The sequence below is a fragment of the Homo sapiens genome, chromosome 2 (assembly GCF_000001405.40).
Source record: "Homo sapiens chromosome 2, GRCh38.p14 Primary Assembly".
Classification (NCBI taxonomy): domain Eukaryota; kingdom Metazoa; phylum Chordata; class Mammalia; order Primates; family Hominidae; genus Homo; species Homo sapiens.
Genome location: NC_000002.12, coordinates 111,249,996 through 111,265,239, shown reverse-complemented (window position 1 = coordinate 111,265,239; position 15,244 = coordinate 111,249,996). Strand labels below are relative to the sequence as shown.

Here is a 15,244-nt window from a genome sequence, read left to right as displayed (position 1 = left end):
AAGGAGGAAAGGGGGTGGTCCAGCACAGGCGCAGCCTGTTGGGAACCTTCTGCTCTGTCTGCGCATTTGTGATGGTTGAATGGGCTGGCGCGGGCGTCTAAGGCAAGGGACTGCAAGGGAGGCTGCAGCCTGCCCTCGTGACCCAGCACACGTCAGATGGCCGGAGTGGGAATGCGTCAGAGATTTGCCTTTGGACAGAACTGAAAGGATATGAAGCAGGGATGAGAGAAGTTCTTTCCATAAAAATCTGAAAACCAAAGGGCCAAACTGATCAACTTGCAGAACGGGAAGGACTGACAAAAATCTCAGGAAATCACCAAGGTCACAGGGGAAGATCATGAGGAAAATGTATGTGAGGCTCCCAGCCCAGCCCTGCCACCACACAGTGTTGGCCCTGACTGCCACTCACCCGGGTGCCCCCTGGACTGCAAGCACCTGGCAGGGGCTGGGCTTTATTCCTGAAACAGTAGGGGGTCCTATAGCACAGCACCAGGAGAATATATAGCAATGGATGTCCACCCCATCCTGCAAAGTCCTGCTCAAGGGCCAGCCCCCATATCCCCAGCTAGAAGCCGCCTCTCCTTCTGCAACGTTCTACTGCGGCTCTCCACCTCTCTTGGGACTGGAAGTGAGAAGCATTTTTCACGGTGGTTCACAAGGTCTCAGTGCAGATGGAAAATAGAGAGTAGGTGAGTTGGAGAGGGTGGCACAGACTGAACCCCAGACAAGAAGGCTGTCTGGGGACTCAGCCCTGGTCTGTTAGCAGTTACGGGTACCCAGAGCAGGAAAGCAATGCAGAAGGGTCACTTTACCCCAGGCCCCACCTGGAGCCCAGCTGGGGCTGTCCACCTGCTTCTTCATTTGTCTTTCCTCCCAGATCCACATCCTCGCCTCACATCAGGAAGGCCCAGTGCTCACTTTTACCCACCATCCGCCTCCTCCCAGTTGGGCGAGTAGCCCTGGCTGCTGCACAGGGTGCCTCCCGTATGCCAGGCACTCTGCTGGCTGCAGGGCAGCTTAACCTGCAGGGCGGTCAGGACAGACAGAATCTTTGCTTTTTCTTTTCATCTGATCAGGGACTTCTGTCTGATCAGAATTAGGTGTCTGGGCTGTCCCAGGCAATGCACGACAGTCACTGGGCTCTCCTCTCGAAGATTCACCCTTTCCAGATGGCCACAATGGTGGCGGCAGCCAAGCGCCCACCTCCACATAAGTCTTCCCTCTTCTGTCCAAGCCAAATCCACTCACAGGAAAGGATCTGGAACTACATGGAGCTAAGGAGTAATAACTAGAGACAGTTCACTAGGATCTCGTGTGGAGCAGGAAATCAAAGTTGGGGACTGCATCACACTGCTGCAATCCCTATTAAACATTTGTTGTTCAAAGTTCTTTCTCAATGGCCTGCTGGAATTTTTTTTCATTCTTCCTCTTTGGCCTGTCTTCCAGCAGTAGCACCAGCCTCCCCAGCTTCTCCCGTCTCCTCCTGGACTTCCTCATAGCTGTAGGCTTCCATGTTCTCAACTCTATTATTCAGAGGAGTTCAGCTCAGTCACGTCTGCGCCAGAGCTTTGATGACCCACCTGTCAGCCACACTAAGGGCCCTGCCATGAATAAGGCCTCCGTCACTGAGGATCCTGTACCCCTCTGCCATAAACTCAGTGACCTGACTGCCAGCCACCAGGCAGAACCTACTAGACTTCTCTAAAATAGATACCGTGGCCTCCTTCCTCAATCATAGTCAAGGTCTAAGCTTCCTTATCAAAGGCAGGCAGTCCTGGGTTTTACGGCAAGAAGTGTGCTTCCTATGTGCAAGGTGCTGTGGGGAAGGGCTGAGTGTGGAGGCCATGTGTGCAGGTCTTTAGGATTTTAGCTGAGCTGCCTTTTCTTGCAGTTTAAGAAAAAAACAGCCAGCCGTTCCCTCCTTGTAATAAATGCCTCTGCATATTTGAAGACAGTAGTTAGGTCATTCTTGAGCTTTCTCATCTTCAAACTAAACAACGGTGGCCCCTGTAACCTTTCCTTGGCAAATTGTAAGGCCCATATGCAGAGGAAAAGCAAAACAAAACCATCTGATGGGGAAGGCCTCCTATCTCTAACCAAGTGTCTGTTTTGAAATGCGGTCTGCACTCGAGTCTTTAATTACATGTAAATTCAGTAGCTTCAAGTGTCTGAGCCAGTGGGAGACCAGGTGCTGCTCATCAGGCCCCTTGGATATGTTCATGCTGCAAGGCTGGGTGATAGCACTTGGCAGACGCTAGGATTTCTTCTCTTCAGATTCATTTTGGGGCAGGAAAAGGGGCTTCCGTGAGTGACCCAGGAGCACAGTCAGCTGACACTTCCTCCCCAGGTTCCCTGAGGGTAGGATGGGCCCCAAGAGCCTCCAGAGAGCCAGTGGCCTGCTGGAAAGGCTGCCCTCTGCCTCCACAGAAGCCAGCAAGTGTGGCTTCCAGATGTCCCTGGTAGAGGCTGGCAGCCTCATCCTGCAGCCAGCGTCTCCCAGGGGAGGCTTCCTGCTGCTGCTAACTCAGAGACAGGGGATCTGCTAAGCGCCTGCCCTCGGTGGGGGTGTTCTGATCACATCAACTTCTTTCCCATGGTTCTTTCCAGGCTCCTTTCCCACATTTGCAGTGTGTTATCTTGGGAGACCCCATGTGTTAGTCTGTTTGTGTTGCTGGGAATACCTGAATCTGGGTAATTCTTTTTTTTTTTTTTTTTTTTTTTTTTTAGACGGAGTCTCGCTCTGTCGCCCAGGCTGGAGTGCAGTGGTGCCATCTTGGCTCACTGCAAGCGCCAACTCCCGGGCTCACACCATTCTCCTGCCTCAGCCTCCTGAGTAGCTGGGACTACAGGTGCCCGCCACCACGCCAGGCTAATTTGAGTCTGTGTAATTCTTAAAGAAAAGAGGTTTATTTGGCTCATAGTTCTGTAGGCTATAGAAGAAGCATGGTGCTGGGCACAGTGGCTCATGCTTGTAATCCCAGCACTTTGGGAAGCTAAGGTGGGTGGATAACGAGGTCAGTAGTTCAAGACCAACCTGGCCAAGATGACGAAACGCCATCTCTACTAAAAATACAAAAAATTAGCTGGGCTTGGCAGCAGGCACCTGTAATCCCAGCTACTCGGGAGGCTGAGGCAGAGAATTGCTTGAACCCAGAAGGTGGAGCTTGCAGTGAGCCAGGATCGTGCCACTGCACTCCAGCCTGGGCAACAGAGCGAGACTCCATAAAAAAAAAAAAAAAAAAAAAAAAAAAGAAGAAGAAGAAGAAGCATGGCCACCGGCATCTGCTTCTGGTAAGGACTCAGGAAGATTTCAGTCATGACCAGTCATGGTCAAAGGGGAGCAGGCATGTTACATGTGAGAGAGAGAGCAACAGAGAGAAGGATGGAGGTGCCAGATTTAAAAAATCCAATCTTGCAGAAATAAGTAGAGCAAGACTCCGTACCGTGGGGACGGCACCAGGCCCCTCATGAGGGATCCTCCTCCATGACCCAAACACCTCCCACTAGGGCCCACCTCCAGGGCCCACTGGAGATCCCATTTCAATATGAGATTTGGGGGGAATGAACATCCAAACTGTATCATCCAAGGTCAGTGCGTTTCTCTGTCCTCCAGTTTTGCCTGCCATGAGCAGCTTTCCTGTGAGCCAGCTGTCCTTTTCATCTCCAGGGTCATTTTCTTCCTTCAGTGCCCAGTGTTTGGACTTTAGGCTGACCTTCAGGATTGTGGAGTCACAGAACAAGCTCATATAAGTGTGTAAGCAAGGCAGCAAATTTTTTAAAATAAAGAAAAAGTTATTTAGACTGTGCCAGTCAGTCTGTGTGCCATCCTAGCTACAACCCAGGGTGGATGCAGAGTGGAGGGTAGAGGAGTGCATCCCTCACTCTTATCTGTGCTTGTCCTTCCTGCATACTGCTGAGGCCAGGAGCACCTAGATTTGCCCCAGTGGGACTCACCTTTTTATTTATTTTTATTTTTATTTTTATTTTTATTTGAGATGGAGTCTCACTCTGTCACCCAGGCTGGAGTGCAGTGGTGCGATCTTGGCTCACTGCAACCTCCACCTCCCGGGTTCAAGCAATTCTCCTGGCTCAGCCCCCTGAGTAGCTGAGATTACAGGCGTGCATCACCACGCCCAGCTAATTTTTGTATTTTTAGTAGAGACGGGGTTTCACCATGTTGGTCAGGCTGGTCTCGAACTCCTGACCTCGTGATCCACCCACCTCGGCCTCCCAAAGTGCTGGGATTACAGGCATGAGCCGCCATGCCTGACCTGGACTCACCTTTGAGGAGACACGGTTTTGGCCAAGATAGCTGTTAAGTACAAGTGTTCAACTGGTGCCCAACCAAAGGGAAAGCAATCTTTTCCAACAGTGAAGAAGAAATTGGTTGTGTCTGCTTTTCAACAGCAAGGGGGTAAGTCTCAAATATGGTGCCTCCATTAAGGTGTTCAATAATTTCAACTACATGAAAAATGTGCCTTGGGAATGACTTCAGAACTTAACCCTCCAGGGAGAGATGCCTCTACTGTATGGCCCCTGGCCTGGTCTCAGATTGGATCATAAGCTCCCTCATTCTTGTATCCCCATGCCCAAAACTGTGCCTGGCACTTAAGGGCCCATAATACATATTTTTGGCTTTGTTGAATAGTTTAACTCATTAGTGATGCAAAGTCCCAACTGCATATTTAGAGATATTTATGTGTGCACTACATTATGGATCGTATGGGTGAGAAGGAGGAACTCAAGGAGAATAAATCATACTTTCCCTCCCCAAAATGTTTATAAAGCCACCAAGAAGACAGGACATAGACACATCAAATATAAATAAAATACAAAAGGATGTACCCTGACATGCCAAATATGTGTTCACAGAAACAAAGTTCCTCTTGCCAAATTCCTGTTGTCTAAAGCAGTTTTTCCTAAAACATATTCTTCAGAATACCAGTTTCTCAGAGTGCCAATGTGAGGAAAAGCTTTGGTGGTCAGATGAGTGCAGGGCTGGGTTAGGCTGACTTCTTTACCAGAGGGCTTCCTGAAGACTTAAAGAAATCTGTATTGAGATATAATTTGTATAGCATAAAGTTCACCCACTTTAAGTAAACAACTCATTGGCTTTTAGTATAGAGTTGTGTATCCATCACCACAATGTCACTGCAGAATGTTTCCATCACCACCCAAAACACCTCATGCTGTTTGCAGCCATTTCCCATCCACTTCCTTCCTAGCCCCTGACAACCACTAATTTACCTTCTGCCTCTATAGATTTGCCTATTCTGGACATTTCATACAGATGGACTCATTTACTGTGTGATCTTTTGCGACCAGCTTCTTTCATTTAACTTAATGTTTTCAAGGTTCATCCACATTGTTGCATGTATGCACTGATGGACATTTGGGTTGTTTCCACTTTTTGGCTATCATAAATAACGTCATTATAAACATTCATGAGCAAGTTGTATTTGACCATATGTTTTCAGTTCTCTTGGGTCTATACAGAGGAGTGGAATTGCTGGGTCATATGGTAATTCTACATTGAGCTTTTAGAGGAACTCCCAGACTCTTTTCCAAAGCAGGTGCACTATTTTGCATTCCCACCAGCAGTGTACACGAGTTCCAGTTTCCCTACATTCTCACCAACACTTATTATTGTCTGTCCTTTTTTATTATAGCCATCCCAGTGGGTATGAAGTAGTACCTAATTGTGATTGTGATTTTGATTTTTGTTTCCCTAATGACTAATTGTTTTGAGCATTTTTCATGGGTTCAGGGCCTTTGATATGTTGATTTTTTCACAAATCTTCAAAAGGGGACACAGTCGGCAGCAGTTCCTAAATGCGTTGGACCATGGAGCCAAACTTGCAAAAGCAGCTCCTGGAATGCAAGCCCGTACCCGAAAGCTGGGAAACATTGGCTGGAAACCAGCCTGTGCTGGAAATGTGAGTTTGGTGAATGTCCTTAGGTCATTACTTCTGCAAATTTTGCTCAAAGAAAGGGAATCTGAACTCTCCACTTTTGTACATTAAGATAATAATAATAATAATAATAATTTTACCCCAAGATATGGCACCCTGGCATGATGAATATTTTGAATTAAAGGCCCTTGGAGACAAGCAGATGCTGGAAAAGGCTTTTGGTTATCTGTATAAAGATTGGACCCACCAAGGACAGCAATTGCTTTCCATCTGTTCCCTGAAATCTCGTACCTGGATGGACCTTTTCACAAGATAATGTCTGTCTCTCAGGCTCATTAAAATTCAAAAGAGAATAATTTACAGGTTAGTTTCTGTCCCCCCTCCCCCACCATCTATTCATTCTCACTAATACTCATTTGTTGCCCCTAACAAGAATTACCTACATTCCCCACCTCCTCTCTTTCCTATGAGGCCTTGCTGAAGGTCACCACTGTGCCTTTACACTCACCCACCTTCCTTTCCCTACTGCTTACCTGCCCCACAAGCCAGTCATGGCCTCTCCTCTGAGCCCTGTGAGAATTCTTAGAAGTTTTATCCTCAGTATAATTCAAATGTGTTCCCTTCTCCAATACCCAAAAACATGGTATGGGATTATTTTTTCAGTAGGGAGACAAATAGAAAGGAGGCCATTCAGGTCTTCTATATTTTAAGATCACAATCTTGACTGAACCTATAGGTGACCCAGTGTGCATAAGCTGCTATTTCCTGTCCTCCTAGTCATCTTTGTGTAGAATCAAAGACACCCACCTCCTTGGTACCTCTCATTTGTCACTTTTCAACACTTCCTGGCAGGCAGGCAGCATAACTGGTCCTGCTGGGTGATCCAGACCACACTCTGCAACTCTTTCTTCTGAGCCAGGCTCCCCTACTGTCTTTTCATTTATGTCAAGGCAGGGGAAGACCTCAAAGGGCTCTTGCATCCCAGTCTCACTTCCCAGAGAGGCACGAGGCCCTCCAGGATGTGGGGACAGGAACTTTGGGGCAAGCCGGGGTTGTCCAGAAGATCACCAGGAGGGCTAAATAGTAGAAAGGAGAGTCTTATTGGTGATATGTTTGCAAACTGGGAAAAGATAGCCTCCAGTGTGGAGCAAAGATGCTCCTTCTTCAAAGAGGGCAAGGGCAGCTTGGATTTTGTGCCTTACAGGGTCGGTATTATATAATAGAGTCATGCATATTCAGTAGGTTTGGGGGAAAAGCTATATATATTTATGAGGGGAGCCAACTACATGGGCAATGGATAAACATACATGTAACACATCCCATGTTCACTTAGGGGCAGGATTTTAGCATTAAAATGAGGTGGAATTTGGCTCTTTACATCAAAAGGTGAGCTATCAGACACAAAGGCAGTTTGTGCACAAGCTCTCCAAAGGGACTTGAGGGCTACAGCTGCTCATCTGGAAAGAATCCTTGTAAGACCAGTCCTCTGTCCAACCAGAGTTAGGAGGCATCTGACAATTTGCCTGATTAGCTGTACTGTTGAGAGTTTAACAAGGGTGTGGTTTTTCTTGTAACCATAGGAATTTAGGGAGTTGCCACGCCAGCCAAGCCCTAAACCCTGGGCTTATAGGTAACTTTTTCCCTAACCTTAAGATCTGTCTTAGTTGGTAAAGGGGTGTCTATTTTGGTCTCTCAGATCACACTAGAAACCTCTCAAGTCCTGTATTCTTATTATAAAGCTGATTATAAAGCTTTACAATTTACTTTGTGATTACTGTAGCTTATCGTAAAGCAACTGTAATCAGTAGGATTGGTGTCAAGATGGGTACACAGATGGGTAGAAAAGAATTGAGAATCCAGAAATGGACTCATATTTACATGGTCAATTTATTTTTGACAAAGGCACCAAAGAAATTTAGCATAGAAAGTATAATCTTCATCAAATGATGCTGGAAAAATTGAGTAACTATATGCAAAAAAGAAAGAAAAGAAAGAAAAAAGTGAAAACCTCCACCTCCGTCATTACTTCATACCATATAAAAAATTAACTCAGAATAGATCATAGACATAAATGTAATAACTAAAACTATAAAACTCCTAAAAGAAAACAGGAGAAAATAGAGAAAACCTTGGTGATCTTGGTTTTGGCAGTGATCTGTTAAATTCAATAGATAAAACACAAATTAGAAATAAGGTATTGACTGAACCTCATAAAAATAAAACATAAACTTTTGTTCTTCAAAAGACATTTAGGAAAATGAAAAGGAAAGCCCCAGACTGAGGTAAAATATTTGCAAAACATATATATAATAAAGGTTTTGTATCCAGAATGTATAAAGAAGTTAAGAAGAAAAGCAACATACTTTTTTTTTAGTTGACAAAAGATCTGAAAAAGACATCTCACCAAGTCGTTTGTAGGACTGGCAAATAAGTAAACAAGAAGAGGCCCAACACCTTTAGTCATTAGAGAAATGAAAACTACAACCACAGTGAGATAATAACACACACTAGAATGGATGAAATTGAAAAGTCTGACCATATCAAGTGTTTGCAAGGATGTGGAACCAACAGGAACTCCATTCACAGCTAGTGGGAATGGAAAATGGTTTGACCATGCTGAAGAGCATTTTGTTGTTTTTTTAAAAGTTAAAAATATATCTACCATATGACTCAGTCATTCCACACTTGGTTATTTACACCCCACAAAAAATGAAAGCATATATTCACACAAAGGCTTTTAAACAAGTGTTCATAATAGCTTTATTTGTAATTGCCAAAAACCGAAAATCACCCAGTTGTACCCCAGCAGGTGAATGGATAAACCAATTGTGACGTAGTCATATAATGGAATGCTAACCAATAATTTAAAAAAGGAACAATTGATACCTATAACAGCATTATTGAATCCAATAGAATGATGCTGAATAAAAGAACATGGACAAAGAAAGAGCACATACTATATGATTTTAGTTACATAAAATTCTAGGAAGTGTACTAATCTATAGTAACAGCAAGCAGATCAGTATTTGCCTATTGGGGGAAGGAGTTGGACAGCAGCAGGGGAAGGGTTAAAGTCACATTTTAGTTTTAAAATATTCAGCATGTATTTTGGGCTACAAAATAGCACAAGGAAACTCTTGGGTGTGATGGACATGTTCATTATTTAATTGTTATGATAGTTTCAGAGACATAAACATAAAAAACTTCTCAAATACACACTTCCATTATGTACAATTTATTATGTGGCCATTATACTTCAATAAAACTGTCACAGAAGAACGACCCTTATCTTCTGGAGATACATGCTGAATGTCTTACAAATAAAATTATCTAAGAACTGAAATTGGCTTCAAGGTAAAGCAGGAATGGGGTGAGAAGTGTGTGTGACGTGGACACAAGGGTGATATAGAAGATTGGCATCAAGTGACAGAAGTAGACGGTAGATTCATTTTTATATATGTTTGAAATACTACATTACAAAATGCCAGTAGAAAATCTGAGTCTAACCCTAAGAATGCAGTACATCCTACTGCCATGTTTCTTTCTTTAGAGCTGAGGAGAGGCCTCTTTACTTTGGTCGGAAACCTCATTAGGTTTGATTTAGTTCAATAAAAATGTGTATAGGTGAAATAGTCCATACGAATTCATTACAATTGATGTGAAACAAAATTAATTAATAATTAATCCATGCAAGTCTTTTGGTAGCCTGCATTTTATCAAAGAAGGGACCCATGGCAAAGGCTGGGAAGGGACCTTTAACAGGGGAGCATGAGTTCCACGGCAGAGTTGCCCTCAAGTAATGCTTTGTAGATTGGTACAGCACATGTGCATCAAAGTAGTGAAAGGATTATGAAATGTGAATAAGGAGTTAGAAGGTGGACCTTGAAGTCCTCCTGGGTACCCATTTCCCCAAGAGTGAGCATCATTATTCTTCATTCCCATACTTCTACAGGATCAATGTTGCAGCCACAGTAGGTGGAAAATTCCAACTCTGCTAACAGTTGGGAGCGTGTCCCTCTAATGAGAGGACCTGTTCATGCAATTTTCTTGATGTCTGGTGAACGCTCCCACGTTATATCTTCAAAAGACTTTACTACCTGAGAGGGTTTCATGCTAACTGCTGAGTAAAACCATCCAGTGCTGAGCACGCAGAGGAGGGAGTAGGGATACAGGTCCACCACAGCCCAGGCTTTGGAGTCTGCCAAAGCAGTCAGACAATGGTGGTCAGAAAAGGTGTGTGAGTCACTCGACTGACTACTTAAATCCAAAGGAATTTGTTTATATGGACCAATCGTTTTAGTAAGATGGTTTGTTATGTGCCTTTATAATTTAACATATTAATTTTATTTAGACAATATTGGAAAAGATAATGCAATCCGGTGATCTCAGCAAAATTCTCTCCTCTATAAAAATAATGAGAAAAGTGACAAAAATAATCAGAATCAACTTTTTAGAACTCTGGAAATTTACCAAAGTGTTGCAGCCATCCAAGGATTGTTTGCTCAAGCAAAACAACTGAATTTCACCTAGAATAGTGGGTTTGTGACATTTTAACTTGCCCCATTCGCATCACCCTTTCTCCAGCTTCATGGTAGCCTTGAAAACCAGCAGCCCCCAGTCACAGAGAAAACCCGTCTAGTGGTTCTCTGAAAGACCCCACTTGCAAGGCTGTCTTTATTTAATCTGACTTGGAGTTTGCCCAGTGTGAAAAGCCATTTCTTCAGGGGCATTTGTTAAAAACATTTAGAGGCAATTGTTTAACTTCACAGATGCTTGAGATAGTGGATAATAGTTGCAACAAACAATAGGCTAATTAAAAAGCTTAAAGTGAAAACTGGAGAATGGATGTTCATAGGGGCTTTGAAAAGCTCTGACATATTCTGGGAAATCTGGAAGGCCATGAGCAGGAGTAAGATAGGCTTTGCACATGCACAGAGCTGTGTGCAGGCTTGGAAAAGATCTTAGAAGGTCCTAAACCCTCATCAATGGCTCCCTTAAAGTTCTGGACAAGAAGATATTGTCAAAATCTAAGTTTAAGGTGGAATTGTCAACTGCTTGGATGAGTGTGGAGGACATTCCCCAACATGCATGTAGAGCACCTCAGCAAAAACTTGGAGATGTAAACCAAAAAGAAAAATCTAAGGTCGTCCTACCCCAACCATCTGAATGGATCCCTCCTCTCTGTCAAGGGCATTCCAAAGTTTACCTGAAAAAGAAGTTCAGGCCATGATGGGAAGGCAGAGCTGGACAAACCTGGTAATACCCTCCTCCTTTTTGGAGTTACTAACAGAACAGACTCTAAATCTGATAAGAAACATTTACAATCTAGTCTGTCTGAAGCCTGCTACCTGGAGGCTTCATTTGCATGACAAAATCTTGGTTTCCACAACCTGTTATCATAACCCAGATATTCCTTTCTATTGATAGTAACTCTTTCAACCAATTACCAATCAGAAAACCTTTGAATCCGCCTATGATATGGAAACCCCCACTTCCACTTGTCCCACCTTCCTGGACTGAACCAATATACATCTTCCATGTATTGATTGATGCCTTATGTCTCCCTAAAATATGTCACACCAAGTTGTTACCCAACCACTTTGGGCCCATGTTCTCAGGATCTCCTAAATGCTGTGTCATGGGCCATTGGCCACTCATATTTGGCTCAGAATAAATCTCTTCAAATATTTTACATAGTATAACTCTTTTTCATTGACAGAGACTTACTAGTTCCTGATCCTTAAAGAAATTTCTCTCCAATCATTAGATGACCATTAAGCTAACAAAGCAGAGACGTCAGTGGCTACACAAGACAAAGAATACAGACTTATAACACAATTACATCAGAAAAGTTACTAAAAAACAAAAACACCAACAAACTGTAAAAACAACATAACCTGAGGAGTAGAGAAAGAATCTGATTTTTTAAAGTTGCCACATTGCATTTTTAATGTCCAGTTTTAACAGAAAATTACAAGACATGTAAGGAAACAAGAAAATATGTCTCATACACAGGACAAAATCAATTAATAGAAACTGTTCCAGAGGAAGCCCAGACATAAAACTTATTAGAAAAAGTCTTTAAATTTAGTTCAAAGGGTTAAAGAAAACCATGTCTAAATAACTAAAGGAAAGGATGAAAATGGTGTTTATCTAACACAGAATATCAGTAAAGAGATAGAAATGATAAAAAAAAAAAAAGAATCAAATAGGAATGCTAGAGTTAAAAAGATAACTAAAAGGAAAATTTTAAGAGGAGCTCAACAGCAGATTTGATCAGGTGGAAGATATAATCAGCAATCTTGAACATTGTTCATTTGAGATTTTCCAGACTGAGAAACAGAAAGAAAAAAAATTATGAAGAAAAATGAACAGAACCTCAGAAACCTGTAGATCTCTATGAAACATACTAACATATACATAATGGGGAGTCTCAGAAGGAGCAGAAAAAGAGAAAGGTGATAAAAATATGTGAAGAATTAATGTCTGTAAACTTAACAAATTGTATGTAAAACATTAAACTGCACTTCCAAAAAAAAATAAAAAAAAGCCAATAGACTCCAAGTAAGATACATTCAAAAATATCCACACCTGGACACATCATTATTAAAATACCAGAAGTAAAAGACAAAGAGAATCTTGAAAGCAGTAGGAGAGAAGTGACTCATCCCACAGAAGCAATCCTCAATAAGAACAACAGCTGACTTCTCACCAGAAACCAAGTTAGCAGGATGGCATGCTGGTGTTGGTTACAATGTGGCATTTGCTAATATTGTGCTTGTCTCCTGAAACTCTTATAGAATTGAGATCTTGAGCTTGTTTTGTTTGTGTGTTCATTTGTTTGTTGGTATGGTAGAGATTCTCATACAAAAAGCCACTTACAAGGAGGTTCCTTAGGTCCATCTCTCTTCTCTGCAGCCTTGCTGCTGTTGTTCCTGTTGGTGCTTCTACATGAAGGGTCTTCAACTGTCTCATTCTCTGGTTATGAAGTTAGTAGGACATAAACCTAAGCAGTTTTCTCAGTGGGCTTTCCAGGCATTTCACAGTGATGGTCCTTCTGAGCCCTGACACCATTGGTGCCAGTAGCATGCAGGCATGGCAGGTCACTCTTCCCAGTAGAACAGACCAGGCTCCACAGGAGGAAATCCAGGAGCTCCTCACTTGGATAGGGTTCGTGTAAAGTGACAGAGTCAAAGATGCTGTGGGGTTTTAAGTCTGGAGAAGCAGAATCAACTGGGGAGGTTCTGGATGTTATCAGAACCAACTTCACAGCTTTCAGCACTTTGTAGAGAGGATTAAATGAAATAATGCAGTCATGCACCAAACATGCTTAGAACAGGTGCTGTCCAAGAAATCTTGGCCTTAGCAATGAGAGGGTGGAGCAGAACAGCTGTTTATAAAAGAGAAGACCCATCGAGGAAACTATTTTACAGAAACCACAGAAGTCATCTGGCCTGGGATTAAGAACTTGATGATTTTCTAGGGCAACTATTGAGAATGCAGCAAGGAGTCCACTGGGAAGAAACCAACAGCGTGGCAGCTGCAATAAGGGCCCAGTTGAGGCCAGAGAATCGCAATGAACTCTGCCTATTGACAAGTGGTTCTCCAAACTCTGGTGTTCTCGCCCTTTAAATGGAAATAATTATACTACCTATCTCATAAGATCATTGTAATACCATTTGTAAATGCTGAGTACTTTGCCTGACACAAGATGTTAACTCAATAATTGATGGTGGTGGTGGTAATGGTGATGGTGGTGGTGGTGATGGTGATGGTGGAGGTGGTGATGGTGGCAGTGGTGGTGGTGATGGTGGTGGTGGCGGTGATGGTGATGGTGGTGATGAGGTGACGATGATCGCAGTGGTGGTGGTGATGATAATAGTGAAGGTGATGTCTCAAGGGAGATTGTATGAGACTCCTATAGGGTAGAACCTACTCTGAAAGAACTCACCTCAATTAAGCTTGATTGGAGTAAAAGCCAAGGCTAGACACCTAAGCTTCAGAGGGACAGAGAAGCTACTCTAAGTAAGAGAGGATAGGGAGTTGATTTTCCTGGGTGAGGATGGAGAGTCTAGTGGGAAGAGGGTCAGAAATGAGGCCTCAAAAGACAAATAACTTTGGGAAAAAAGAAAAATTATTCATTGGGGAATTAATTTTTTGTCTTTGGAATGTGCAATGTTAACCCCTTTCATGGTCTCTTTACATTATCTTCTGTAAAGTCTGTGCTTCTCACTAATGGTTTTGGAAAAGTGTACCTTTTTGGTTATCTTCAAGAGGGATTGAGTTCTGTGTTGAGTTTGGCATGTGATAAAAACAGACTGACCCCATGCATGCAGGATGCAGAAGAAAAGGTGCAGCTGATACCCAGGATGTATTATTATTACTGTGACACAGTGAATCTAAAAGAGGGGTCAGTGGATGAGGGACAGGAGATGCAGCTAAGAGCTAAGAGTGTGGTTAGTGAGACAGTGAAAGAGCTGAGTGACTCAACCCTAAAGGGAATTGTATCAGGGAGAAGAAAGATGGTTTAAACCTCCAAGGAAGCCAGAGGATTACAGACGAGTTAAGCCAGTGTTGAGTGATGGTGCTGAGGGTCTTGAGCAAAACAGCAGGAGACAGTGCACTGCACCCCATGGTGGAGGTTGGTGTTTGTGCCTGAGAACCTTGCTCTTGAGTCAGGAGTGTATGACCTTGGACTTGGGTTAGGACTTGGACTTGTGTTAGGACATGGGTTAGTGTGCAGTTTGTACTTCTTTTGTGTGTGTGAGTCTGGGAGAGAGACCAAATTTCTTAGGCTCTAGCAGCAGGAATATTCCTTGTACTCTAATGACATAAAGTAACTTGATTCTCATGTCTGAGGTATCAATTAGAGAAAAATAGATTAGGAAAGGGAGTTCAGAGGAGCAAAAGCTGGCAAGGCTCGTTCAGTCAAGCTTGCAGTTCAGTACAAAAAGGATTTATTTGAATGCCTACTGTGTGCTTAGCACTATACCTTTGTCTCCAAATTAGAAACATAAGGCTGCTTTCATCTAATTAGCAAACATGTTATAAGTACCTATTGCATGTTAGGTTCCACACACCAAAAATTGTCCTGGATGCCTGGAATGTGACTTTTCTTCTTCCCTTTACCTCCTTGCAACTGCCCTCAATATTAAAGCCTATTTATAATTCATTCAACATTAATTTTATTGAAAAAGCATTTGGTTTAGCCAAAACAAACATCAAACTCCATATACTTTTTTCAGTCTGAGAGTGGAAAATCAAAACTGACCTTGTGTTATGATTTACTGTATCTCCCCATCCTGGCCCCACAGGCCCATAAAGAAGAGAAT

General features: G+C 43.0%; 1 long non-coding RNA gene across 7 annotated transcripts in view, besides 1 other annotated feature; it reads left to right on the top strand.

The window, feature by feature from the left end:
• Positions 1–15,244, top strand: part of MIR4435-2HG (MIR4435-2 host gene) — a 299,296-nt gene that overhangs the window by 229,922 nt on the left and 54,130 nt on the right. The gene's annotated exons all lie outside the window — the stretch shown is intronic.
• Positions 2,455–2,955: an enhancer, noted in NCBI's record as "H3K4me1 hESC enhancer chr2:112019862-112020362 (GRCh37/hg19 assembly coordinates)". NCBI's record gives its function as "activates a minimal SCP1, AML or CMV promoter by ChIP-STARR-seq in naive H9 embryonic stem cells {active_cell/tissue: H9 hESC(naive)}" and the evidence as "EXISTENCE:reporter gene assay evidence [ECO:0000049][PMID:30033119]".